This window comes from Homo sapiens, chromosome 3 (genome assembly GCF_000001405.40).
Source record: "Homo sapiens chromosome 3, GRCh38.p14 Primary Assembly".
In the NCBI taxonomy this organism is placed as follows: domain Eukaryota; kingdom Metazoa; phylum Chordata; class Mammalia; order Primates; family Hominidae; genus Homo; species Homo sapiens.
Genome location: NC_000003.12, coordinates 28,034,751 through 28,062,536, shown reverse-complemented (window position 1 = coordinate 28,062,536; position 27,786 = coordinate 28,034,751). Strand labels below are relative to the sequence as shown.

The following is a 27,786-nucleotide window of genomic DNA, read 5'->3' as shown; positions in this document are numbered from 1 at the left end:
GGAGAGTGTATGTGTTGAGGAATTTATCCATTTCTTCTAGACTTTCCAGTTTATTTGCATAGAGGTGTTTGTAGTATTCTCTGATGGTAGTTTGTATTCCTGTGGGATCTGTGGTGATATCCCCTTTATCATTTTTTATTGTGTCTATTTGATTCCTCTCTCTTTTTTTCTTTATTAGTCTTGCTAGCAGTCTATCAATTTTGTTGATCCTTTCAAAAAACCAGCTCCTGGATTCATTAATTTTTTGAAGGGTTTTTTGTGTCTCTATTTCCTTTAGTTCTGCTCTGATTTTAGTTATTTCTTGCCTTCTGCTAGCTTTTGAATGTGTTTGCTCTTGCTTTTCTAGTTCTTTTAATTGTGATGTTAGGGTGTCAATTTTGGATCTTTCCTGCTTTCTCTTGTGGGCATTTAGTGCTATAAATTTCCCTCTACACACTGCTTTGAATGCGTCCCAGAGATTGTGGTATGTTGTGTCTTTGTTCTCGTTGGTTTCAAAGAACATCTTTATTTCTGCCTTCATTTCGTTATGTACCCAGTAGTCATTCAGGAGCAGGTTGTTCAGTTTCCATGTAGTTGAGCAGTTTTGAGTGAGATTCTTAATCCTGAGTTCTAGTTTGATTGCACTGTGGTCTGAGAGATAGTTTGTTATAATTTCTGTTCTTTTACATTTGCTGAGGAGAGCTTTACTTCCAAGTATGTGGTCAATTTTGGAATAGGTGTGGTGTGGTGCTGAAAAAAATGTATATTCTGTTGACTTGGGGTGGAGAGTTCTGTAGATGTCTATTAGGTCTGCTTGGTGCAGAGCTGAGTTCAATTCCTGGGTATCCTTGTTGACTTTCTGTCTCGTTGATCTGTCTAATATTGACAGTGGGGTGTTAAAGTCTCCCATTATTAATGTGTGGGAGTCTAAGTCTCTTTGTAGGTCACTCAGGACTTGCTTTATGAATCTTGGTGCTCCTGTATTGCATGCATATATATTTAGGATAGTTAGCTCTTCTTGTTGAATTGATCCCTTTACCATTATGTAATGGCCTTCTTTGTCTCTTTTGATCTTTGTTGGTTTAAAGTCTGTTTTATCAGAGACTAGGATTGCAACCCCCGCCTTCTTTTGTTTTCCATTTGCTTGGTAGATCTTCCTCCATCCTTTTATTTTGAGCCTATGTGTGTCTCTGCACGTGAGATGGGTTTTCTGAATACAGCACACTGATGGGTCTTGACTCTTTATCCAATTTGCCAGTCTGTGTCTTTTAATTGGAGCATTTAGTCCAATTACATTTAAAGTTAATATTGTTATGTGTGAATTTGATCCTGTCATTATGATGTTAGCTGGTTATTTTGCTCGTTAGTTGATGCAGTTTCTTCCTAGTCTCGATGGTCTTTACATTTTGGCATGATTTTGCAGCGGCTGGTACTGGTTGTTCCTTTCCATATTTAGTGCTTCCTTCAGGAGCTCTTTTAGGGCAGGCCTGGTGGTGACAAAATCTCTCAGCATTTGCTTGTCTGTAAAGTATTTTATTTCCCCTTCACTTATGAAGCTTAGTTTGGCTGGATATGAAATTCTGGGTTGAAAATTCTTTTCTTTAAGAATGTTGAATATTGGCCCCCACTCTCTTCTGGCTTGTAGGGTTTCTGCCGAGAGATCCGCTGTTAGTCTGATGGGCTTTCCTTTGAGGGTAACCCGACCTTTCTCTCTGGCTGCCCTTAACATTTTTTCCTTCATTTCAACTTTGGTGAATCTGACAATTATGTGTCTTGGAGTTGCTCTTCTCGAGGAGTATCTTTGTGGCGTTCTCTGTATTTCCTGAATCTGAATGTTGGCCTGCCTTGCTAGATTGGGGAAGTTCTCCTGGATAATATCCTGCAGAGTGTTTTCCAACTTGGTTCCATTCTCTCCATCACTTTCAGGTACACCAATCAGATGGGACTTTTCACATAGTCCCATATTTCTTGGAGGCTTTGCTCATTTCTTTTTATTCTTTTTTCTCTAAACTTCCCTTCTCACTTCATTTCATTCATTTCATCTTCCATCGCTGATATCCTTTCTTCCAGTTGATCGCATCGGCTCCTGAGGCTTCTGCATTCTTCATGTAGTTCTCGAGCCTTGGTTTTCAGCTCCATCAGCTCCTTTAAGCACTTCTCTGTATTGGTTATTCTACTTATACATTCTTCTAAATTTTTTTCAAAGTTTTCAACTTCTTTGCCTTTGGTTTGAATGTCCTCCCGTAGCTCAGAGTAATTTGATCGTCTGAAGCCTTCTTCTCTCAACTCGTCAAAGTCATTCTCCATCCAGCTTTGTTCCATTGCTGGTAAGGAACTGCGTTCCTTTGGAGGAGGAGAGGCACTCTGCTTTTTAGAGTTTCCAGCTTTTCTGTTCTGTTTTTTCCCCATCTTTGTGGTTTTATCTACTTTTGGTCTTTGATGATGGTGATGTACAGATGGGTTTTTGGTGTGGATGTCCTTTCTGTTTGTTAGTTTTCCTTCTAACAGACAGGACCCTCAGCTGCAGGTCTGTTGGAATACCCTGCCGTGTGAGGTGTCAGTGTGCCCCTGCTGGGGGGTGCCTCCCAGTTAGGTTGCTCGGGGGTCAGAGGTCAGGGACCCACTTGAGGAGGCAGTCTGCCCGTTCTCAGATCTCCAGCTGAGTGCTGGGAGAACCACTGCTCTCTTCAAAGCTGTCAGACAGGGACATTTAAGTCTGCAGAGGTTACTGCTGTCTTTTTGTTTGTCTGTGCCCTGCCCCCAGAGGTGGAGCCTACAGAGGCAGGCAGGCCTCCTTGAGCTGTGGTGGGCTCCACCCAGTTCGAGCTTCCCGGCTGCTTTGTTTACCTAATCAAGCCTGGGCAATGGCGGGCGCCCCTCCCCCAGCCTCGCTGCCGCCTTGCAGTTTGATCTCAGACTGCTGTGCTGGCAATCAGCGAGACTCCGTGGGCGTAGGACCCTCCGAGCCAGGTGCGGGGTATAATCTCGTGATGCGCCTTGTTTTAAGCCTGTCGGAAAAGCGCAGTATTCGCGTGGGAGTGACCCAATTTTCCAGGTGCCGTCCATCACCCCTTTCTTTGACTCGGAAAGGGAACTCCCTGACCCCTTGCGCTTCCCGAGTGAGGCAATGCCTCGCCCTGCTTCGGCTTGCGCACGGTGCACGCACCCACTGACCTGCGCCCACTGTCTGGCACTCCCTAGTGAGATGAAACCGGTACCTCAGATGGAAATGCTGAAATCACCCATCTTCTGCGTCGCTCACGCTGGGAGCTGTAGACCGGAGCTGTGCCTATTCGGCCATCTTGGCTCCTCTCCGGTAAGCATTTCTATTTCTCCACATCCTCTCCAGCATCTGTTGTTTCCTGATTTTTTAATGATCACCATTCTAACTGGTATAAGATGGTATATCATTGTGGTTTTGATTTGCATTTATCTAATGACCAGTGAAGATGAGCTTTTATTCATATGTTTGTTGGCCACATAAATGTCTTCTTTTGAGAAGTGTCTGTTCATATCCTTCGTCCACTTTTTGATGGGGTTGTTTGTTTTTTTCTTGCAAATCTGTTTAAGTTCTTTGTAGATTCTGGATATTAGCCATTTGTCAGATGGATAGATTGCAAAAATTTTCTCCCATTCTGTAGATTGCCTGTTCACTCTGATGATAGTTTCTTTTGCTGTGCAGAAGTTGTTTAGTTTAATTAGATCTCATTTGTCAATTTTGGCTTTTGTTGCCATTACTTTGGTGTTTTAGTAATGAAGTCTTTTCCCATGCCTATGTCCTGAATGGTATTGCCTAGGTTTCCTTCTAGGGTTTTATGGTTTTAGGTCTTTCATTTAAGTCTTTAATCCATCTTGAGTTACTTTTTGTATAAGGTGTAAGGAAAGGGTACAGTTTCAGTTTTCTGCATATGCCTAGCCTGTTTTCCCAACACCATTTATTAAATAGGGAATCCTTTCCCCATTGCTTGTTTTTGTCAGGTTTGTCAAAGATCAGATAGTTGTAGATATGTGGTGTTATTTCTGAGTCCTCTGTTCTGTTCCATTGGTCTATATCTCTGTTTTGGTACCAATACCATGCTGTTTTGGTTACTGTACCCTTGTAGTATTGTTTGAAGTCAGTTAGCACGATGCCTCCAGCTTTGTTCTTTTTGCTTAGGACTGTCTTGGCTATATGGGCTCTTTTTTGTTTCCATATGAAATTTAAAGTAGTTTTTTCTAATTCTGTGAAGAAAGTCAATGGTAGCTTGATGGGGATAGCACTGAATCTGTAAATTACTTTGGGCAGTATGGTCATCTTCATGATACTGATTCTTCCTATCCATGAGCATGAAATGTTTTTCCATTTATTTGTGTCCTTTCTTATTTCCTTGAGCAGTGATTTGTAGTTTTCCTTGAAGAGGTCCTTCACGTCCCTTATAAGTTGTATTCCTAGGTATTTTATTTTCTTTGTTGCAATTGTGAATGGGAGTTCGCTCATGATTTGTGATTTTATCTTTAGTTAGAAGTTTGGTAGTGTTTTTGTGACCTGAAATATGCTGTAGTAACTTAACTCTTGTTTCTATCAATTAGCCTATGGTAAAATTTGTTTTGTTACATGTCATTTCCCTTAAAGTCACAGTATTCAAGAACCTATAGATAATGTTAAATGAGGACCTACTGTATAATTATCATTACAATTTTACAGATTGTGGAAACGTGTGCAGAAGGGTTAAGCCAAAGTCTCATGCCAGACAGAAGCAGAGTTGAAATTTGCCTTCAGATAGCCTGGCCTCAAAGCTCATGCTTTGAATTACTATACAATACTGCCTCCTGGGTGATTTTATACAAGTCACTCAACCTCTGAACCCATGATTCCACATCAGCAAAGTGGTGATGAAAATGCCTACCCACAGATGTGTGGTGAGACTCAAATGAGCCAGTGTACCTGAAATACCTTAGGAAAACTGAGAATCGTTCTAAAAATGCAAGGTATTATTGTTGTTTTTATTGTTCAACTGACATAATCATGTGCTTTACTAAGAACTTGAGAAGTCCAAAGAATGCACAAAATTCTTATGTTTCCTATGTGCTATTTAAATAAAGGAACGGATGGCATCTGTTTAAATGCAAATCAGTCCTGTTGTGTTAATGAAATCGACATCCGTGTGATTCTGGGTTTAACTACTCTGGTTTGAGATCTTGTTTTCCCACAAAATGCCCATCTTATAGTCTTTCTATAAAGATGAAAACAATTTCGTTTGTGAAATTTGAGTGAGGAACAGAAAACTATAGCTCCTTGTCAAGGCTATGCATCAACTTCCTCATTTTGCTAAAAACTGTAGGACCAAACTCATGTACATTTTCCCCCCAGAAGATATTTCTAATTGATATGTCTTCATCATCATGAATCCAATTTATAGCACCAGGCAGGCAATGTGTTATTTTTGGAGTAGTGCTGTATACACTGGAAAAAATTTGCACATGAGGGCAAAATGGAACAGACAATTGCTTTTGGGGACTGCACAGATTAGTACATCATTGCATACTAACAAAGTGCTAATTGCTCCTTTTGACCACGGGCCCAGTTTACAAAGCTTTTGCACAAATGTGCTCTGTGCACTAAATTACAAAACTAACACTGCATTATTTCTCAGTACAGCTTGCAAATTCTTGTAGGGCAGTATGCATTAGCATTAATTAAACCAGAGAGAGAGAGAGAGAGCACTAGCAGAGAGAGAGAGGGAGATGCTCACAATTTAGAAAGAACGGATCAGATGCTAATTACTCAAGTTACAAATGTTCCATTTGTTCTGGAATGATATTAGTAAAAGTAAACAGCATTTATTCTCAAGACTTGTATTTGAAAAACAGTTTCAATTCTGCAATGGATATGAAAATTAGTGTCTAATAGCTAAAATAAGAAACAGTGATTGACCGTAGCTGTTCTGTGCTTTTGTCAAACTAGTGTGACCAATTCTTGAGAAAATTGTTTGCATTAAAGATTACAAATTACACATGTATACATATGTAACTAACCTGCACAATGTGCACATGTATGCTAAAACTTAAAGTATAATTAAAAAAAATAAAAAAAAAGAAATCTGACACATAGAACAAATCAAGAAATGCTTAATGAATAAATGAATGATTAAATTGCAAAAAAAAAAAAAAAAAAGAGATTACAATTACATTTTTCCAAAGCAGCAGAGAGAATCTGCTAAGTGACAAATGAGCAAGGTATCATCTATTGGAAAGCTTGAAAGGGTTATGTATAACATCTCTTATTCATCTCCTTTTCATTTCATTCAGCATTTGTATCCTTGAGAAGTTTATTAAATTTAAGTTTAGATTCAAAGCACCTGCCCATAGGCTCAAGTACTTAAAAAACACTTTTGAATCAATAATCTCATTATTTAATATGCATTCATTAAACACCTACTATGTGCTAAGCACAGGAAGTGCCATCACATTATCTTCAAGCAGTTCAGAATCTATCTGGGTAGACAGATCTTATAAATGACTAAAAATAGCAATAATAAGACAAATGCTTCACTTGAAGAACATTCCAGCTTCATTTGAAGAATACACCAAAAATGCTGCTATGGGAAGTTAGAATGGCCAATTCTGGAAGAATTAGGAAAGGCATGGAAGAGCAGGGGATGTTCAACTTGAAAGACGTGTGCAGGTAGCAGACACAATGTGGGGTTGAGGGCACTTAGAAAGGGAATGTGATGGTCTGAGATACCATAGCTCTGAACTTGGGCAGTGGCAGGGTGATGGAGAATGGAGGACAGATTTGAGAACCCTTGTAGAGATAGACCTGAGAGGACTGGTCCCCTATTGGTCTTGGAAAGTGAGAGAAAGTGATCTCAGAGTTCTATGGATGGCAAAGAATGTATGTGCTAGAAAAGACCAGAGAAGGAGCAGAATGAGGAAAAAGGTAAATGGAGACTAGCAAGCCTTGTTTGTTTTCTGCCTCTAATCTCCTAGGATTTCTAGATCAGTTCCCTGCATACAAGTTCCTGGTGTGTTTTCACTCTTAACCAACACTTGAGCGCAGCCAGATCCTGGGTCTCCTTGCCAGGGGCTGACCTCAGCCTGCTTAAACTCCTTTGCCTGCATGCACAGAGGGCAGAAAGTGGAAGGGAATTTACTAAGGAAATTAAGGACTCTGGGACCAGCCCTTAACCAAAGACTGACACAGCGATGGAATATAAATACTTCACCATCTTTGCTCCTAGTTAGAACTGCTTTGATATAATGAAATATACCAGTATTTTTCAAATTTTAACACTCCTATGAATCACTTGGAGGATTGTATTAAAATGCGTATTTCAATTTGGTAGAACTAGTGTGGGGTCTGAGATTTTGCACATCTAGCATGTTTTCTAGTGATGTCGACCTGCCGGTGTACAGACCACACTTTGTGTTGCTAGGACTTACACTATCTCCAGAGTCCCCTGAGTGACTGAATCACAATTACTTCTCCTTCCCCACAGGCTTTCACTGGACATTTCTTCCTTACTTAGCTTCTTTCTCTTCCAGTTCCACTTCTCCTCTTCCTTACTAGATTTTTCTGGAAACATTTCTAATAAATCACTGTCACAGGAATCTTTATTTCAGCATGTGTGTCTGGAAAATCCAACCTAATACAGAGTCCAGGAGTTTGATTTTGGACATATTATATTTGAGGTGCCAAAGAAATATACAAGATGAACTGTCCGATAGTCAATAAGCACTAGTGATAACCATGCCTTCATTCTTTCAGTTCTCCCTTCTTAGCAACGAGTGTCCTGAGAATACAGGGCATTTAAGCAGACCTCTGGTGTCTCAGGTTTGTCCCTCAGAATTTAGAAGAGTAAGTTTCTTTTGCTGTATTCTTGTTTGAAGTCTTTGAGAATTGATAATCTGTATATCCCATTAGCCAGAATATTCTGCTGTCTGAGTGCTTTTCAAATATTAATGTATATATGAACAATCTATGGATCTTGTTAAAACACAAGTTCTGGTTCTGTAGATCTGGGAAGGAACTAAAGATTCTGTGTTTCTGACAAGCTACCTGGTAATACTGCCACTGCTGGTCTGCAGACCGTGTGAACTACACTTTGAGAAGCAGGGTTCTAAAACACACTTCACAGGTCTAATTTTCAAGGAAACACTCTGAGATTGAATGAGGCACTGATAGCAATGGTAATAGTAGAAGTAGTGATAGTAGTAGTAATAGCTGACATTTATTATTTACATTTACTAAGTACACACACTCTGTGTTAAGCCCTACTCAAATTATCCTACAAATACCAACTCATTTATTCCTCACAATAATGCAGAGATATAAGAATAAAAAATGGTTGATTTTTATTCCAACGGTTTTAATAAGTTAACTATTGTTCCATATGGAAAACCTCAGGATATATTGGTGGTAAGCTATAAAAGTCCAAATATTTAGAGTTGTTTTGCTAGTAACCACGTCATTTCCAAGAGGAGAGGGCATGTTTGGGAAGTGAACACAGCCTAACACATTCTTTCCAGGGAGTGATGGAAAAGAACCAGAAAATGTATATGAGGGAGCAATGTGTGAGGTGGCCTCCTTGGGTGACTGTTGTGGGTGACTACCTATTGCAGTTGTTAGATTTATTTCAAAACTCAGTTTAATCCCCACTTCACCCCACCCCTGTGACTCAGTTTTAAGCAGTTGAGTTTGAAAATGACAAGGATGACTCAAGCATTGAAATCTCTGTGAAAACAGGAGACACCTCCTCCTACCCTCAGCAATCTTTGTTTTCTTCCAAATGCTAAGAACCCACACTTAACACACACACAGAATAAGATATGTACAGAATTTTTTGACTTAATCAAAATAAATGCTTCTCCAAATTGAATTTATTCTTACTTTTTTTTTTTTTTTTTTTGAGACAAAGTCTCGCTCTGTCACCCGGGCTGGAGTGCAGTGGCACGACCTCGACTCACTGCAACTTCTGCTCCTGGGTTCAATCGATTCTCCTACCTCAGCCTCCTGAGTAGCTGGGATTACAGGCAGGTGCTACCATACCTGGGTAATTTTTGTATTTTTAGTAGAGACGGGGGTTTCACCATGTTGGTTAAGCTGGCCTCGAACTCCTGACCTCGTGATCCACCCGCCTCGGCCTCCTAAAGTGCTGGGATTACAGACATGAGCCACCGCACCCAGCTATTCTTACTTTTGAAGAAAACTGAAATAATGTTCAAATAGCAATCAAAAGGGCAGTATATCACTATATTTTCTTGTTTTCAGAAATCAAAAGTTATCAGATAGATATATAGTTGTAAAGAGAAACTATTTTCCTTTTAAATAAAGGTTTTGTTGTTGTTGTTGTTGTTATTTTAAATAGTGATGAGGTCTTGCTATGTTGCTCAGGCTGGTCTTGGACTCCTGAGCTCAAGCAATCCGCCCACCTCGGCATCCCAAAGTGCTAAGATTACAGGCACCAGCCACTAAATGAGGCTTTATTTTATGAACAAGAAGACTAGCTATGGCTTGAAAGAAAAGTATAGTCATATCTATTTTTATCTCATTAAATATCCGGGATCCTTTATGATGTGTTATGGCTACTCACTAAGAAACAGATTTAAAGACTTAGTTTGTTAAGAGGGAGCAGAAGGGTACATGCTGACTATCTGGTAGGGGAGATAACATTATATACCCCTGGGCTATGAATTAACTTGGGGTGATGTGAGAGCACATTCTTTTTGGTGTTATCATATGTGTGAAGTAATCATAAAATATAACTGTGATGAATCCAATTTCAAAAATCTACTCTCTATAAAAGACGCATCTCTAGCACCTGAAGAGATGAGACAGTGGTAAACTCAGGCAGGAGAGGTTGGAATCCAGTTGTGCCACTTACACCTGGTCAGCAAATCAGCTAGGAGCTGGTGGTGGGATTCTGACCAGGGGATGAAATATAGTGTTGGATTTTTAGAACTGGAAGTAGTCTTTCCTGTTATTAGAAAAAGAAATTATGAGGTTGACAGAAATTCCCAAACTGTATTATATGAAACAGTAGGTATTGTGAATGAGAGAATTAAATGAGCTCCTTTGTCAAGTAAGTTCGGGAAACCTTGTATGCCGTATTTGCTTGTGGAGATTCACAAGGCACACACACATATGAAAGGTTCTGAGGAGTCCTGCTTTTTGTTTAAGTTTGTTCAAAACAGATTCTCACAAATGAATATTTGCTCATCTCATCTCACCACATAAACCTTTTGTTGTTGTTGTTTTTAAACACAAATGACATTCCATGGAAATAGTATTCTGTGGAACTCAGTTCAGGAAATGGGAGAGAATTTTTGGAGAAGCTCCTTGATTTCAGGGAGGGATGCCAACACATGACCAGTAGGTTAAGTTGACCACTCGAAAGAAGCAGGGAGGCCATGCTTCATTAAAAGATATAGCCATAATACTTGGCAGGTGATGTACTTCAGGCAAACTGAAAGAGAAAAGGTTGAGTTGAAAAACTGCCCAGGAATTAAGCCAATCGATTGACTTGAATTACTTAAGAAATAAGTAATCTGTGCTCAATGGTCATTTATTTTTATGCCTTTGGGTGTGTGTGTGGTGGTGGAGGGTGGTAGTGGTGGTGAGGGATGTAGCTTTACTCTGTTTCTTGTAAATAAAATGTTCATTTTTATTTTTTATGAAATTATAAAAAAACTCTAATTTATCCAGGTCTTAGAGATAGAATGATTATATTTTTTGAAGGAAAAACAGCAAAATCTGACTATTTGCAATCAGATGGGCCCAGCCTGGATTCTTGTTTTTTTTTTCAGACGGAGTCTCACTGTGTTGGCGAAGCTGGAGTGCAGTGGCGCGATCTCGGTTCACTGCAACCTCCGCATCCCGTGTTCAAGTGATTCTCCTGCCTCAGCCTCCTGAGTAGCTGGGACTACAGGTTTGCACCACCATGCAAGGCTAATTTTTGTATTTTTAGTAGAGACAGGGTTTCATCATGTTGGCCAGGTTGGTCTTGAACTCCTGACCTCAGGTGATCCGCCCACCTTGACCTCCCAAAGTGCTGGGATTACAGGTGTGAGCCACCGCGCCCAGCCCCCTGGATTCTTGAACAGCGTAGCAAACGAAACCATGTTACCCTGGGGTCTAGGTATGGTTACACCTCACACAGAGCCACAGCCCAAAGTCAGAAACTGGCTAAGATTTGCAGGAAGAAGTAAAGCCATGAATAAGAGAACATGAAGTTGGAATTGTGCTCTTCCCACCTGGGCTTCCCCCTCACTGTCTCTTTTGCTTGAAATGTTGATGCTTTTACTGACATTTTGGAAATTCTCAACTGCCATGGAGGGGAATGGGGGATTTCTGTTTCACCACTCTTCCTTTTTAAATTCTTTTCTTTGTTCGGTTTGTGGCCCTCGTGCCATCCTGATGCTGAGCTGTCACTTCAGGCTTGTTAGTCAAATTATGGTGATTAATGCAAACAGCCAACATGAACTTTGGGCTGCTCAGATGTTAGATAACCCATGTGCTGGCAAAGAGCCATCTTTCTACATATCCTAAGTGACTCAGACACCTTTCAACACCAAAGTAGCTCTTCCTCAAGCACAGAACCCTGTGATTCTTAAGTGACTCAGACACCTTTCAAAACCAAAAGACAATCTTCTGATATTTGATATAAATTTGATGGCCAAGTTCTTTTCAGAAGATAAAATTAATGAGGATGTTCAAAAACAAATGGCTTTAGGTGAAAACTGATTGTTTTCTATTGACCCCGACCATGTATAGGAGGCTGATCTTACTAGTGGTTTTGCAACAGAATGAAGTCTCCATCATTCTTTCTTCTAAATGTGATCATTTTCCTTAACTGGGTTTTAGAAACATGTAAGAACCCACCCCCATTCCTGGTGGAGCTTTTATATGTGATAAATGGTAATGTGTCCATTGCTTTCCTAATTTGAAAAAGATGGTTTGGAGACTATCAGAAAAAGAAATATAAGATACTTAAGAAATATTACATGCTCAGAACTTTGAGGGTTTCTTGTTTATTACATAATAAGGAAGCCCCAGTTCTGTAATTCTCCAATGTGTCACCAAACATTCTGACCTAATATAAATTTAGAGCTCTTGCCAAAAGGGATTTCTTATCTAGATTGGTGTAAAAAAAAAGCCAACTATGAGAAAGATGTTCCATCAACATAAACCGAAGTTTTATGCTGGGGAATACCCTGTGAAATCAGCCATTTCCATTAATGCATTACACTACGATTCTATGCAGTATATTCAGAAGGGCTAACACAGGGAACATTTTGATGTAGTTGGTTTTGGTCATGTAACCACAATCACCATCAATATATGGAACATGTAATCACTCCAAAAATGTCCCTCATGCTGCGTGTAGTCTGTCACTCTGCAAAATCCTAGCCTTCCAGTAACCACTGATTTATTTTGTCTCTCTGTTTGCTCTTTCATCATATGCTGTATGACATCATATAAACGGAATCATACAGAATATAGTTTTTTGAATCTTGTTTCTTTTACTTAGAATAATGCTTTTGAGATTTATCCATATTTTTGCATGTGTCACTAGTTCACTACTTTTTATTTCTGGGTGCATTCATTACATAGACAAACCATAGCTTGTTTGTTCATCCAATAGTTGAAGGACATTTGGCTTGTTTTCAGTTTTTTGGCAATAATACCCTCTAAACATACCCTCTAAACACAGGGGTGTGTGTGTGTGTGTGTGTGTGGTTTTGTGTGCTTGTGTGTGTGTAATTCCTGGGTCATAAGGCAAATGTATATTTAATTTTATAGGAAAATACCATACTCATTTCCCAACATCAGCAACCTATAAGACTCTCACAGCCAATTTTTAAAAATAAATTTAGCCATTCTATTAGGTATGTAGTTGTATCTCATTGTAGGTTTAATTTGCATTTCCCTAATAATTAATCAGTTCTGCATCTTTTCACATGCTTATGTGCCATTAATATATCTTTTTTGGTGGTGGGGGAGAGGCAAGATGGGGTCTCACCATGTTGCCCAGGCTGGTTTTAAACTCCTGGGCTCAAGTGATCCTCCAGCCCCAGACTCTCAAAGTTTTGGCAAAGTATCTGTTCAAATCTTATGTTCATCTTTATTAGTTTGTTTTCTTTTTGATTAGTTTTGAGAGTTCTTTATATATCCTGGATACAACTTCTTTACCAATTATAAGTTTTGCTAATATTTTCTGCCAATTCAAGGCTTGCATTTTCATGTTCTTAACAGTGATTTTTGAAAAGCAAAAACTTTTTATTTTTAGTGAAGACTAATTGATCAGATTCTTTCTTTTATGCATTATGCTTTTGGTATCATATGTAAGTAATCCTTGTCTAACTCAAGTTACAAAATATTTTATGTTTCCTTCTAGAAGTTTATAGTTTTAGGTTTTACATTTAGGCATGTACTCTGCATTAAGTAAAAATTTTGTATATAATTCAAGGTATAGATTGACATTTTTGCATATTGATATCAAATTATTCTAGCACCATTTGTTGAAAAGATTAACTTTTTTATTCACTGAATTGTCTTTGGACCTTGGTCAAAAAATCATTTGACCATACAATGCTTGGGACCATTTCTGGACTGTCTATTCTGTTTCAATGGTCTGTGTTTATATGCTTTCACCAACATCACCCTTTTTGGATAATTAGAACTTTATAATAAGGCTTGAAACAAAATAATGTTAACAGCTCCAATTTTGTTCTTCTTTTCCAAAATTGTTTTGGCTATTCTAGATTGGCTTTCCACATATATTTTCAAATCAGCTTGTTAATTTCTACCAAAACTCTTGCTGATAATTTGATTAGGATTGCATACAATTTAGGATTGAACTGACATTAATAATATTGAGGCTTACAATTCATAAAAATTAAATTATATACATCTCCATTTATTCATGTCTTTTTAAATTTCTCTTATTAAAGTTTTATACAGATATTGCCTGTATTTTTTGTCTTTTTGTACAATTGTAAAACATGATTTAAAAAAATTTTTATTTCCAACTGCTTATTGCTAATATATAAAAATACAATTAATTTTTATTAATTAATTAATACTCACCTTGTATCCTATGACCTTATTCACTTATTAGTTTTAGTAGCTTTTTAGTAGAAACTTTGGGATTTTCTACAGTCATGCCATCTGCAAATATAGGTGTTTTTTTTCTTTCATATCTATATAGCTTTCATCTCTTTATCTGAAATAGGAGTATTGGGAGTGAATATCCTTGCTTTATTCCCATTCTTAATGAGAAAGCAGTCAGTCTTTCATCATTAAATGTGATGATAGTTTTTTTGTAGATGCCGTCTATCAGGTTGTGGAAGCTTCCTTTTTTTTTTTTTTTTGTTTTTGAGACGGAGTTTTGCTCTTTCACCCAGGCTGGAGTGCAGTGGCGCAGTCTCGGCTCACTGCAACCTCTGCCTCCCAGGTTCAAGCATTCTCCTGCCTCAGCCTCCTGAGTAGCTGGGACTACAGGCGTGTGCCACCAAGCCTGGCTAATTTTTTATGTATTTTTGGTAGAGATGGGGTTTCACCGTGTTACCCAGGATGGTCTCGATCTCCTGACCTCATGATCCACCCGCCTCGGCCTCCCAAAGTGCTGGGATTACAGGTGTGAGCCACCACGCCTGACTGGAAACTTCCTTTTATTCTCGATGTGGTTAGACTTTGTATCATGAATGAATATTGAATTTTTCAAATGCTTTTTCTATATTTATTTAAATAATCATATGGATTTTCTTCTTTATTCTGTGACATGGTGAATTATATCGATATTAAAATGTAAAACCAAACTTTTTATTTATGTGATAAATTTTGCTTCATTATGGTGTGTTAGTCTTTTTTATACATACTGAATTTAATGTGCAAGTATTTCATTGAGGATTTTTGTGTCTATGTTCAAGACGGTTGTTGGTCTAAAGTTTTCTTATAGTGCCTTTGTCAGATTTTGGTCTCAGGGTAATGCTGATCTCATAAAATGAGGTGGAAAGTGTTCAGTTCTTTACTAATTTCTGAAAGAATTGGTAAAAATTTGGTATTAACTCATCCTTAAATGTCTGGTAGGATATTGGCAGTGAGGCTATTGGGGTCTGGAAGTTTTCTTGGTTGCAATGTTTTCAATTACAAATTCAATTGATCTAATAGATATAGGATTATTCAAGTAATCTATTCTTGACTGACCTTTGATAATGTGGCACAAAGAATTTGTCCATTTCATGTATATTAGGATTTAGCAAAATATGCCCATGAACCAGATTAATGTGGAATGTAGCTTATTTTTGAATGGTCTGTAAGCTAAGAATCATATTACTTTTTAAAGGAATTATAAAATAAGAGTATGTAATAGAGACAGTGCATGGCCCACAAGGCCTATAATATTTACTATCTGGATCTTTACAGAAAAAGTTTATCAGTCCCTGATCTAAGTTATTTAATTTAAGGCTATCAGTTTGGTTTTTTTTTATGCTTTTAATGTAGTGTTTGAAGTGATGTTATTTCTTTTCAACCTTCTTTCATTTTATAGTAGTAATTTGTGTCTTGATTTCTTTTTCTTTTATCAGTTTTATTAGAGGTTCATTAGTTTTGTTGATGACTTTCTCCATTGTATTGCTCTTATAAATTTCATTGATTTCTACTCTTATTTTTCATATTCCTTTTCTTTTGCTCATGTCAGGTTTAATTTGTCCTTTTTTAGTTTCTTAAAGTGAAATCTTAGATCATTAATTTGTGAACTTTTTCCTAATATAAGAATAATATAAAGATTTTTATGTTACAAATTTCCCTCTAAGCACTGCTTTGGAAACTTTACATACATTTTATGTTATGTATTCATACTAGTTCAGTAAAAAATATTTTCTAATTTCTTTTTGACTTCCTCTGTGACTCACTGGTTATTTAGAAGTATGATGTTTAATTTCTGAATATTTGCAGAATTTCCACATATCTTTTTTTATTGATTTCTAAGTTAATTCTGTCCTGGGTAGACAAAATCTTTCGTATGATTTGATTATTTTAAAATTGTTAAGGTTTGTATTACGACTCAGAATATGGTCTATCTTGGTGAGTGTTTAATTTGCACATGGAAAGAATGTGGATTCTGCTGTTATTGGGTGGAGTGTTAGGTAAATATCAATTAGGTTAAGTATGTTGGTAGTGACGCTTGGGTCTTCTATACACTTGCTGATTCTCTCTTACATATTCTACCAATTGATGAGAGAGCAGCATTAAGCTCTCCAAGTACAATTGTAGATTTGCCTATTTTTCTTCTCAGCTCTAAAACATTTGCTTCATAAATTTAGAAACTCAGTTGTTAGGTGCATACACATTTAGGATTGTTATGTCTTCTTGGAAAACTGAATCCTTTATCATTATGGTCCTCTTTATCTCTGATAATATCTTCCTTTTGAAGTCGATGTTGTCTGATATTATTATAGCCGCTCCAGACTTCTTTTTATTAGTGTTGTTGCATATCTTTTTTCCCTCCTTTTATTTTCAACCTATTTAAGTCTTTATATCTAAAGTGTTTCTTGTAGATAGCATATGGATATTTTATGTTCTCATCCAATCTGATAATTTTCATATTTTAATTAGTACAGGTAAATGATTTAAGTTTAATATAATTATGAATAGGATTGTATTAAACTGTACTATTTTACTAGGTATTTTCCATTTGTTTCCTCTTCTGTCTTTTTTTTTTTTTTTACTTCTTTTTCTACTTAGTTTTGGATTAAGTTTTTTTATGATTCTAGTTTATCTCCACTGTTGGATTTTTATTTATGCCTCTTTTTAAAGTATTTTACTGGTTGTCTTAGGATTTGCAATATACATTTACTGGTACAAAAGCAGGCACATAGACCAATGGAACAGAATAAAGAACCCAGAATAAAGGCACTCACCTACAGCATCTGATCTTTGACAAAGTTGACAAAAATAAGCAATGGGGAAAGGACTCCCTATTTAGTAAGTGGTATTGGGATAGCTGGCTGGCTGCTACATGCAGAAGAATGAAACTAAATCCCCACCTTTCACCATATGTAAAACTTAACTCAAGATGGACAAAAGACTTAAATATAAGACCTCAAACTATAAGAATCCTAGAAGAAAACATCATTCTGGACATTGTCCTTGGGAAAGAATGCATGATTAAGTCCTCAAAAGCAATTGCAACAAAAACAAAAATTGACAAGTGAGACCTAATTAAACTAAAGCACTCTGTAAAGCAAAAGAAGCCATCAACAGAGTAAACAGAACCTACAGAATGAGAAAAAATATTTGCAACCTATACAATTGACAAAGATTTGATGTCCAGAATCTATCAGGAAGTTAAACAATGCAACAAGCAAAACACAAATAACTCCATAAAAAAATAGACAAAAGATATGAACAGACAATTCTCAAAAGAAGACATATAAGCGGCCAACAAGCATATGAAAAAATGCTCAGCAACACGAATCATCAGAGAAATGCAAATCAAAACCACAATGAAATATCATCTCACACGCGTCAGAATGGCTATTATTAAAAAATCAAAAAACAGATTCTGGTGAGGCTGCAGAGAAAAGGAGCTGCCTATGCACTGTCAGTGGAAATATAAATTAGTTCAGCCACTGCGGAAAACTGTTTGGAGATTTCTCAAAGAACTTAAAACTACTATTTGACCCAGCAACCCCATTACTGGATATGTATCAAAAAGAAAATAAATTGTTCTACCAAAAGACACATACTTATATGTTCATCACAGCACTACTAGTAATAGCAAAGACATGGAATCAACCTAGGTACTCATCAACGGTTTACTGTATAAGGAAGATGTGGTACATATACACAAATACCGCACAGCCATAAAAATGAATGGAACCATGTCCTTTGTAACAACATGGATACAGCTGGAGGTAATTATCCTAAGGAAATTAATGCAGGAACAGAAAAACAAATATTGCATGGTCTTGCTTTAAGTGGGATCTACATGCTAGGTACTTATGAACATAAAGATGGCAAAAATAGACATTGGGGACTTATAGGAAGGGGAAGGAGGGGAGGGACATAAGGGTTGAAAAACTAACTGTTGGGTATTATGCTCACTATCTGGGCGATGTGATCTTTAGAAGCCAACCCTCCGCATCATGCAATATACCCATGTAGCAAACCTGTACATGTACCTCATGAATCTAAAATAAAGGTTAAAGTCATTTAAAAATTTACTATGTATATATATAATTTTCGTGTCTATTTTTAAATAACAGAATATCACATAGTGTAAGGGTCTTACTTCCAACTCTTCTCTTCCTTTTTCTATGCTATTGTTGACATTTATTTTACTTTTATATATGCTATTTACCCCCAATATATTGCTGCTATTTTTTTTGTTTAGGCAGTCAACTTCTTTTAGAATGATGAATAATATGAAAATATATTTTTATATTTATTTCCATTTTAAATTACTTTCAGAACTCTTTATTTCTTCATGTAGATCTAGGTTTCTATCTAGTGTCATATTCCTTTTGCTTGAAGAATTTCTTTTAACATTTCATGTAAAGTCAGCCTATTGGTAATAACATCTTTCTAATTTTATTTGTCTGAAAGACCATTATTTTACCTTCATTCTTGAAAAGTATTTTCACTGGCTACAGGATACTAGGATAGCCACTTTCATTTTTAGTATTTTAAAGATGTCACTTTCTTCTGACTTGCATAGTGTTTGTCAAGAAATCTGCTTATCTTTATTTTTCGGTAAGTAATATGTATTTCTTTCTTTTTTCGTCTGGCTGCCTTCAAGATTTCCTCTTTATCTTTGCATTAAGTCTGGATTTAATATGTCTAGGTATGTCTGTTTTTGTGTGTGGGGCGGGGAGTGTATGTGTATTTGGGGAGGGCATATTGATCCAGCTTAAGGTTCTCTAAATTTCTTAAATCTGTGGTTGACATATTTTATTATTTTTGGAGAATTCTTCATTATCTTTTCAAATATTTTTCCCTGCAGTCTCTCTCTTCTTCTGAGTTATTAATTATATATTAGAATGTTTGATATTGTTCCATAACTCTTGAGTGCACTGTTCTTTCTTCTTCTCTCACTTTTTTTATCCTCTGTGTTCTCAGCTTTAGTAATTTTTATTGATCTCTTTCCATGTTCACTGATTATTTCCTTGGCTATATCATGCCTGCAAATGAGCCCTTCAAAAGCATTGTTCTTTTCTGTTATCATGATTTTATTTCTAGTAGTCCCACTTGACTCTGCCTTATAATTTCTATTTCTCTGCTGAAATTCCCCATCTATTCACAAATGGCCTCCACTTTTTCCACTGGAAACTGGGTCAGGAAGGGGATGGAAAGCCTCCATGAAAAGACATGACTCTAGTAGAACTGGCAGATCATATAATTTATGGTTATGGATCTGAATTTGAATTTACCTATCAGAAAAGAGAAGTCATTCTGTCACTTTTAGATTTGTTTAAAGAAGCTTTTAAAATCTAGATTGACTGCAGTTTGAATCTGATTCCCAGCCATGCCTCTCAATTGACTCAACTGGTAGTAGGCACTTAGCATGTCTTAACATTTTCAAACAATTTTACCCACAGCAGCCCAGCTTTTCTTTGTCTTTGTCTGTAAGTATAGCCTAGGCCATCTGGTCTTTTTCTCCCAGGTGTGAGAAACTAGATGTTATCTTGCCTACTGTCTTCCTTTACTAATGTTGCTAGTGAAATAATGACTCTGCCTGAATAGAAGTAAAGTACTAATGAGACAATAACAAAGACCAACGCTACCATTTATCAAGTACTTGCCACATACTAGTGGCAGAAAAGATAAAGAATCAGAGGCACCAGGAATTGAATTATCATACACAAGTTTGCAGATGTAAGAGGCTGATGTAGAATTCCAGCCCAGTGTCTTAACTATTCCTCAAGTATATTGGTATCTGCCCAATACCATTTAAAAAAACTGCTCTATAGAGCGATGACTCTCAAATGGAATATCTTAGGTTAATAAAAATTTTCTGTGGAGGAGCTGACTTTTGAAGATGATACTAAGGGTCTTAAAGAAGAAAGTTTCATTTCCTCTGAGAAGCCCTGTCATTCCTAGATTGTAGAAATCTCTTTCTCCCCAGTGTTGAAAGCCTGCTCAGATGTCACCCTTAGAAACAACAGCAACTGTGACAGTAAAAGGCAGACAATGGAAGGTATAACCAAAATCCTGAGTCCCTACCTCCCACTTCAGGGTTGACGAGCTACACTGAGACCTGTGGCCTAGGCTTGGGACCCAGCTGCTAAAAGCACTTTCTTTGGTTTCTCCTAAGTGGGCTCTGTAAGAAACCCAGTGATTGTGAATGCTTTAGACAGGCACAGCTGTGGGGGAGCAGGGGAGCATCTTCTTGTATTTCTATAAAGAAAACAAGTTGACCATATATTTGGATCTATCCAAGGATGCTGAAATTGCTGCTTTTTAAATGTTTAAAATTTTTGAGGGAGGATAAAAGCATTCAGATAGTGGTAGCCAGATTTTGTCCAATTTCATAGACATTTAATCTTTCCTGTCCTTCTTGTGGGAGCATGTAAATACAATTTTTATTATTATAAAAAATGATAATGTCACACATGGTGCAGTTTTTTATATTCTATAAAGCATTTTACATATACTATTTCATTTTATCTGAAGAGAACACTAAGGCAGATGGAGAAATTGAAGCATGTTCTAGCAAAGAGGCTTGCCCTAGAGAACAAAGTAAGGAAGCATCAGAGCTGAGTCTGGGTCTCTACCCTCTATGATGACATGACTTGTTAACTCAACTTGTCTTCTGGATACCTTTGTCCAGACTCCTAGTCTTTATCCTGGAGATAAGTCAGTGGGATCATTCCATTCTTGTTCCCTTTCCATGTAGCCCCCCATAACTCGGAGAATCCCAGCCAATTAATAGTTTCATTAGCAATGCCTGTTTCTACACATCCTTATTAACCCTGGCTATCGACAATAGTTTAAAAAATTTACTTATCTTATTACAGGTGGAAAATGGTAGCTCAAGGTCATTTTAGTTAATCTTCTTATCCTTGCTAGAAATTGAGTACCTTCTCATAGAGGTACAGACGATTTATATTTCTTCTTTCATGAATTGCCTCTTTATCCTCTGCCTGATATATGTTTATAAATCTTCATATTTTTAATATTTTCAAACCAATTTAAAAGTATTTCTCTTATAAACTACATATGTACTTTTTTCCTTTTACATCTGAACATCTTTGTTTTTGATGGAAGTTCAAGCCATTGCCTTTTGTTGTGATTACATGTGTATTTGATTTTATTTCTGTCATCTTGTTTTATTTTCTATTTGATATGAAATTTTTTCTCATTCACTGGATTGACGGAGTTGTCTTTGTCCCCTTTTCAGTTTTGTGCTTGTGTTGTGCTGTGTCTTACAAAAGCATCTTGGAATCTCTACATCCTATTTCTAGGTAGCTCATGTTTAGCCATGTAATTTTCTTTCTTTCTTTTTTTTTTTTTTTTTTTTGAAACGGAGTCTCACTCTGTCACCCAAGCTGGAATGCAGTGGAGTGACCTTGGCTCACTGCTGCCCCTGCCTTCTGGGTTCAAGCAATTCTCCTGCCTCACCCTCTTAAGTAGCTGGGATTACAGATGTGTGTCACCATGCCTGGATAATTTTTGTATTTTTAGTAGAAACAGAGTTTCACCATGTTGGCCAGGCTGGTCCTGAACTCCTGAGCTCAAGTGATCTGCCTGCCTCGGCCTCCCAAAATGCTGAGATTACAGGTCTGAGCCACTGCACCTGACCAGCCATGTATTTTTAATGTATATAAACATATTTTCCTATTATCGAAGATAAATCAATATTTACAACCCACACCCTTCAAACAAGTGTTTGGTGTACTTTCATTCCTTCCTTTCCCTCTAGAATTATTTTAATTATTTTGAATTCCAGATTTTAATTTTTCTGTATTTATTATTTATGTCTTTCCAAATATTTTGGGATTATTGCTTGTATACTCATTTTTAGAAATTCAAGCATGGGGTGATTAATACACGCAGCTAATGTGGGTTTTCCTCAGCAGAAGTAAAGTATTATCTCTGCAGTAGGCTCTGCTCTCACTGGGAAGGTTCTCTCCAGTGAACAGAGAATGACAAAATCTAGGCTTTTCTAAGGATGAGGGCCAAGAGCATGGCACCTTCATTCATGGTTGCCAAACTTAGGAGGTAATGTGCTTCAACGCTTTGCACTTCAAGAAGGAGCTACCTTTCTATCTTATACCTGAATTTATAGTCATGCTTTACTTTTCTCTCCTGTCAAAATGCTCACTTTTTATCCCTGAAACAAAGTCTCTGATTTGTTTGGAGGCCATTATCATAGTTTTAACCTGGACAGAAAACCATGACCAACTGCTGAATATGGGCAGACAGATAAATGAGTGTAGAGATCAACAGCCATGCTTATTCAACTGCTCTTTAATAAATTATCTCAGAGATCACCACTTGACTCAGCCCTTGCTGAGTTTCCATGGAGAAGAATTGCATTGCACCCTACTCATGGTGCAATTTGGGCTTGTCAGTTCATGCTTTGATTTTTTTTTCAAATCAGTCAGTCGTTTCTCCTTGTGTTTTCCAGAGATTGCCAAAATTTCTGATTCAGAAATGGCACCTTTCCTCATTTACAACCTTTAATTAGAGTTACTGACATTTCACACATGTGGAACCTGAGGCTTAGAGAAGGCAACCTTGAGAAGCAGGAGATATTATCCAGGGATAACATGTCTTATCATGTTACAGCATTGATAAGGTGGAGAAGTTGAGAACCATTCTTGGGAGCCAGCTCTACCTTTCCCATCATTGTGCAAATAAATCACAGTTTAAAGCACCAAATAATACTGTCTTCTCAGTTTCTTTCTTTAAGAAGCTGCTATTTACCTGGTCTGTTCCAGCTATGAGATGTGCCATGATCCATTAAGAACACATTGTCTTTGGGCAACTGGGGAAACGTAGTAGCCAGAGCATATAGAAATATATGAGGAAATCCTCCTTACCCCATCACCTTTTTGTTAATTTATTTAACCAAAACGTGTTGATTGCCTACTACTTACCATACACTGTTAATATTTAGTTCACTGTGGTAAATAACATAGGCAAATTCTCTTTTCTCACGCAGCCTGTAGTCACCACTGTGACCTCACATTGATGATTAGCTCTTGGCTTCTACTTTTGCCTCTTTACCTCAATTCTACTAAGTAAAAAACTTTTACTGATCAGTACAGTAAAGAAATTGCATTAATCTAACTTGGAAACTATCTCTAGTAGTGTATTATGAAATCAAAATAGGATTTTATTAACATTTAAGTATGGCCAACTGAGTCACACCTTTTTTAAAATGACTTTGTCTTAGGTCTTTTTTGGAAAAACACTAGAGAGAAGAATGTGAGTCCAAAATTTGTATTGATTCAGTGAAAACTTCTGAACAATCTTTTTCATATTGAACAGTCTATGGCCATCTTAATGAAATGGGGGCATATAAGATACTCAGTAAACGTGAGAAACTAAGTGGGATTCAAAGAAGGACCAAACCTTGAGACAACATGTGGCTTTGAGGATATTCAGCTCACATATTTAGGCCTTGTTCTCCTTGCCCCGCCCCCCACCACCCCCACCCCGACCCCAAGGAAGATGGCATTAAATGATGTCTAAGGTCTTCTAGCAGTAATCTGTAATAGAAATATAATACAGCAAACTGTTTTCAACTTTTATATTTTCACCACATAGGACTTTCCTTGAGGTTAGTAGAAGTTCTAAGGAGGAAGCACAAAAGAGAGACATGGCGATTGAACCTACAAAGCAATAGTCTGTTAAATTCACAAGATTACTGTTGGGTATTATGTCTTAAATTCCCCAATAAGGTATTAGAATGAGCTACTTTCTGAGGAAGGGCTCATGTTTTAATAACTAGACAGGAGCCTTCCCTTGTTGCCTGTGAAGTCTCAATGACAATAGAAATCACTTTGGGGAGAAAAATCAAAGCAAGAGGATGAAGTTTCTTTTTATAAGATGGTGTATGGCAGGGTGTGGTGGCTCACGCCTGTAATACCAGCACTTTGGGAGGCTGAGATGGGCAAATCACCTGAGGTCAGGAGTTTGAGACCATCCTGGGGAACATGGCAAAACCCCGTCTTTACTAAAAATACAAAAATTAGCCAGGCATGGTGGCAGGCACCTGTAATCCCAGCTACTTAGGAGGCTGAGGCAGGAGAATTGTTTGAACCTGGGAGGCGGAGGTTGCAGTGAGTGGAGATCTCACCATTGCAATCCAGCCTGGGCAACAAGAGTGAGACTCCATCTCAAAAAAAAAAAATAAAGAAAAGAAAAGAAAAAACAAAGAAAAGGAAAGAAAGAAAGAAAGAAAGAAAGAAAGAAAGAAAGAAAGAAAGAAGAGATGGTGTGAGATGGAGATACAGTTTTTGGGTTTTGGATTTTTTTTAATCCTTCCATGTCCCTTCACAGAAAAGAGCTGGAAAAAGCAAGCTTTGGGATCTGAAAATGGTAGGATTTACTTTTTGCTGCAATTCACACCTTTCCCAAAGAAATTCCTTAGAAACCCCAGTAATTGGTAAATGATGTTTTCTTGAATTGGTCTCCCAAATTGCCACTAGGAGAGAGTGAGATATTGCTATACATCTTACCAGCAGCCTACTGTTGATACTCTATTTAAAAGGGTCCCTTTAGACTATAAACGAAAAGTGTGTCCGTGAAGAGTTGCTCCAAGGCTCTTCTTGGAGAAGAATATCTTTCTTCTTCTATTTCTTTTTGCCCTTGTGTCACCTCCTGCACCTCCCTTCCAGAAACCCACTCATATACATATTGGACACACACACACACACACACACACACACACACACACACACTCTCTCTCTCTCTCTCTCTCACAAAAGTATTTAAATGGAGCCTGAAGAATATATTTGTTAAGAGCATAAGCTCAGGAGTCAGGTTGCCTGTATTCTCCATTTAACAGCTGTATGATCCTAAGCAAGTCATGTAACCTCTCTGTGCCTCAGTTTCCTCTACACCATAGGGTTGTTATAAGGATTAAATGGGCTCATCCTTGTGCAGCATTTAGCACAAGACTTATCACATTGTAAGTGCTCAATAAATGTTAGGAATTATGCTCATGATGAACTTACATTGTGCTTTCATTCTTACAGTATCCTGGGGAATGGATACCTTTGCAGGGACAGATTTTCAAATAAGATGCCCTCAAAGATGAGCCCAAACTGAGCTAGGTTTCCATGTGTGGGTGTGAGGTAGGTAAAGGGCTGTGTGGCTTGCCATTAGTTCTCACATGGGTTCAAGTCCTGATAGCAACTTGGGAACTGGGTGGTAATAACCTCTGTGTGCCCTTTCAAAGGAACAAAATTAAATGTCACTTGCCAGGTGCTGAAACTTACTCTGAGGACAGCAAGTTAAGGGAACTCCCTGTGTTAAACAAAGCTAAGTAAATGATCTGCTGTGATCAAAACCACTTTGGCAAAGCCCTACAGTGCTCCTTCTATAGATATATGTGCATATGTTCCTGTATGTGTTTCCCTTGGCATCACTTTGGGATGGAGGGAGAGAGGGTGGGTGGGTGGGGACTTTGGATGTGATACCGACAAATACAAGCAGTGGGAAACTTGAAAATTTCTGTCCACACGAACTCCCACTGTTTCCTTTTTTTTTTTTTTTTGCTCAATTGTGATAGGCTCTGGTTTCCTTTAAGTTTAGTTTTGAGTTTCAACCTTAAGTTAACTTTGGTTGCAATATCAGTATGATGCCCTTATACAAGAGCTGTGGTCACATGCATAGGGCTGCAAGGGACACCCGCCTGGTTGGGAATGATCTGCCCTCCATTTCCCAAACTTGGTGTCCGTCAGGTGAACCTAAGTCATAGTCCTTTAAACCTCTCTCTTCCAGTTAAAAAATTATCTACAAGGACAGCAAGTGAGAAATTCTTAGACGCCATACATCTTGCTTTTGTGGTTAATAGAGTTCAAATTTTCCATGCTGCTGAGAAGGGAGAGAAATTGTCATGTGCGTGACAAAACCCGTTTGTCTTGTATGGTTTTGGGAATAACAGGAACAAAAATATTTTTCCTCTCTTTCCATTTAATGTAATAAATGGTTCAAGATAACATGCATATAACTTACCACACAAACTTCCTGTATGCAAACATACAGGCTCTTAAAATGAACAAATTTTATAACAAAGAAAAAAATCCAGAAAACCAGAAAAATCCACCACCACACATACTACACAAAGCTTTGTGTAAATGCCAAAGAAGCTACCAAAAACTAGTAGTTGGAAGCTATAGTGAATTTAACAAAACTTTCTGTACTATTTTACGTTCCAACCTTTCATTAATAGAAGATCTTTTTCATTTTTATGAGGTCTGATGCCTGAAGTGGAGAAAGGAGACAGAGATGTCAGTGAACTCCCTATGATAATGCTTGGTGAAGTGATTGCATGGAAATGTGTGGATTTTTTTTTTTTTGCTTATATTTTGAGCTTCTACCAGCCAGCATTCATTCATTCATTTATTTACTTACTCATTCACTCACTCATGCATTCAGACTTCTGGTTCATAGTGTCAGCTAAAAGTTAAAGTCACAGCCATTGGCCAGAAAAAAAGAGAGCTGTGATACTGGCTAAGAGATCAACTGTGACTCCCAATGAGAGAAATTCCTCTAGAGATCTCTAAACACTGTCCTCTGGGAAACATAGGATGTAGAGAATAGCTGTGCACTCAGGGACATCAATTTATAGGCAGGAAGCTTTGCTTATGAGACTTAGAAGTTTCTGCAAGTTATAGATTGATGGTCAGGACTTTGGCTGCTGCTGGGAGAGGAGAAAGGCAATGAGATTCCAGAAGCTGACTGGGAAATCAACTGTTTATGCCTTTTAAATCTACTGGAAAATCCAAATGTCCCTTTCAAGGGACTTACTTCAAGACATCCCTTACAAGGCACCTTCTCCCATAGCCCTGCATTATGAAAGTATGTAAGTCCCATTTGCAGGAAATCTTACACCCAGAAACACACTCTCATTGATCTCTATCTTTGAAATATAGGTTCACACACAACATGTGCCTCAAAGACATAAAAGACCTGGCAACCCCCATGGCCAAGGTTAAGGTCACTATCTTCTAAAAGAAGTTAGTTTAGAGATTAGTCACACATCATGCAGGATAACCTTTGCCATTCCCTGCCCACCTTCTTTATGGTTAATTTCACAACAATCCCTTTCCTTTTCAAAAGTTTTGAGAAAAAAAAATCCTCTGCCTAATTTACATGTATGATTATATTAGCCTTTGCAAGAGTTCTAAAATGTGTCTGAAGCTTATAGCTGGACATTTGCTTTATTAAATGATCAGCTGGAATACCTAAGATCCTTGCTTACTCCTGATTACATTTCTAAATGCAAGGACAGGAATATGGGACCTTCAACTTTTAAGTGGTCCATATTACCTTTTAGGTTCCGGAAATGAGATGGCCCTGGATCTGCATATCTCCTCTAAGGGTGTTAACAATTGAACTGGAGAATTATAAGCCTTAAAGTGTTGACCTTTTTTTTCTAAAATGTGTGAACAAATTTCATGGAGTTGAACTGGATAACAAATGGCAAATATTGGACTATATGTTGAGTCATGCACACATGAGAACTGACAATTGTTAGCCATGTCTGTGGGGTATCATCATTGCAATTTGGAAATCACTTATTCAATGTGAGGGCAAAAAATAAAATAATTAAAAACTAATTTGTCAATGCATGTCTTTTAAAATAC

The 27,786-nt window shown here is 37.6% G+C and overlaps 2 annotated features.

Annotated features, from left to right (window-relative positions):
• Positions 2,409 to 3,009: an enhancer, noted in NCBI's record as "NANOG-H3K27ac-H3K4me1 hESC enhancer chr3:28101019-28101619 (GRCh37/hg19 assembly coordinates)". NCBI's record gives its function as "activates a minimal SCP1, AML or CMV promoter by ChIP-STARR-seq in naive H9 embryonic stem cells {active_cell/tissue: H9 hESC(naive)}" and the evidence as "EXISTENCE:reporter gene assay evidence [ECO:0000049][PMID:30033119]".
• Positions 3,010 to 3,610: an enhancer, noted in NCBI's record as "NANOG-H3K27ac-H3K4me1 hESC enhancer chr3:28100418-28101018 (GRCh37/hg19 assembly coordinates)". NCBI's record gives its function as "activates a minimal SCP1, AML or CMV promoter by ChIP-STARR-seq in naive H9 embryonic stem cells {active_cell/tissue: H9 hESC(naive)}" and the evidence as "EXISTENCE:reporter gene assay evidence [ECO:0000049][PMID:30033119]".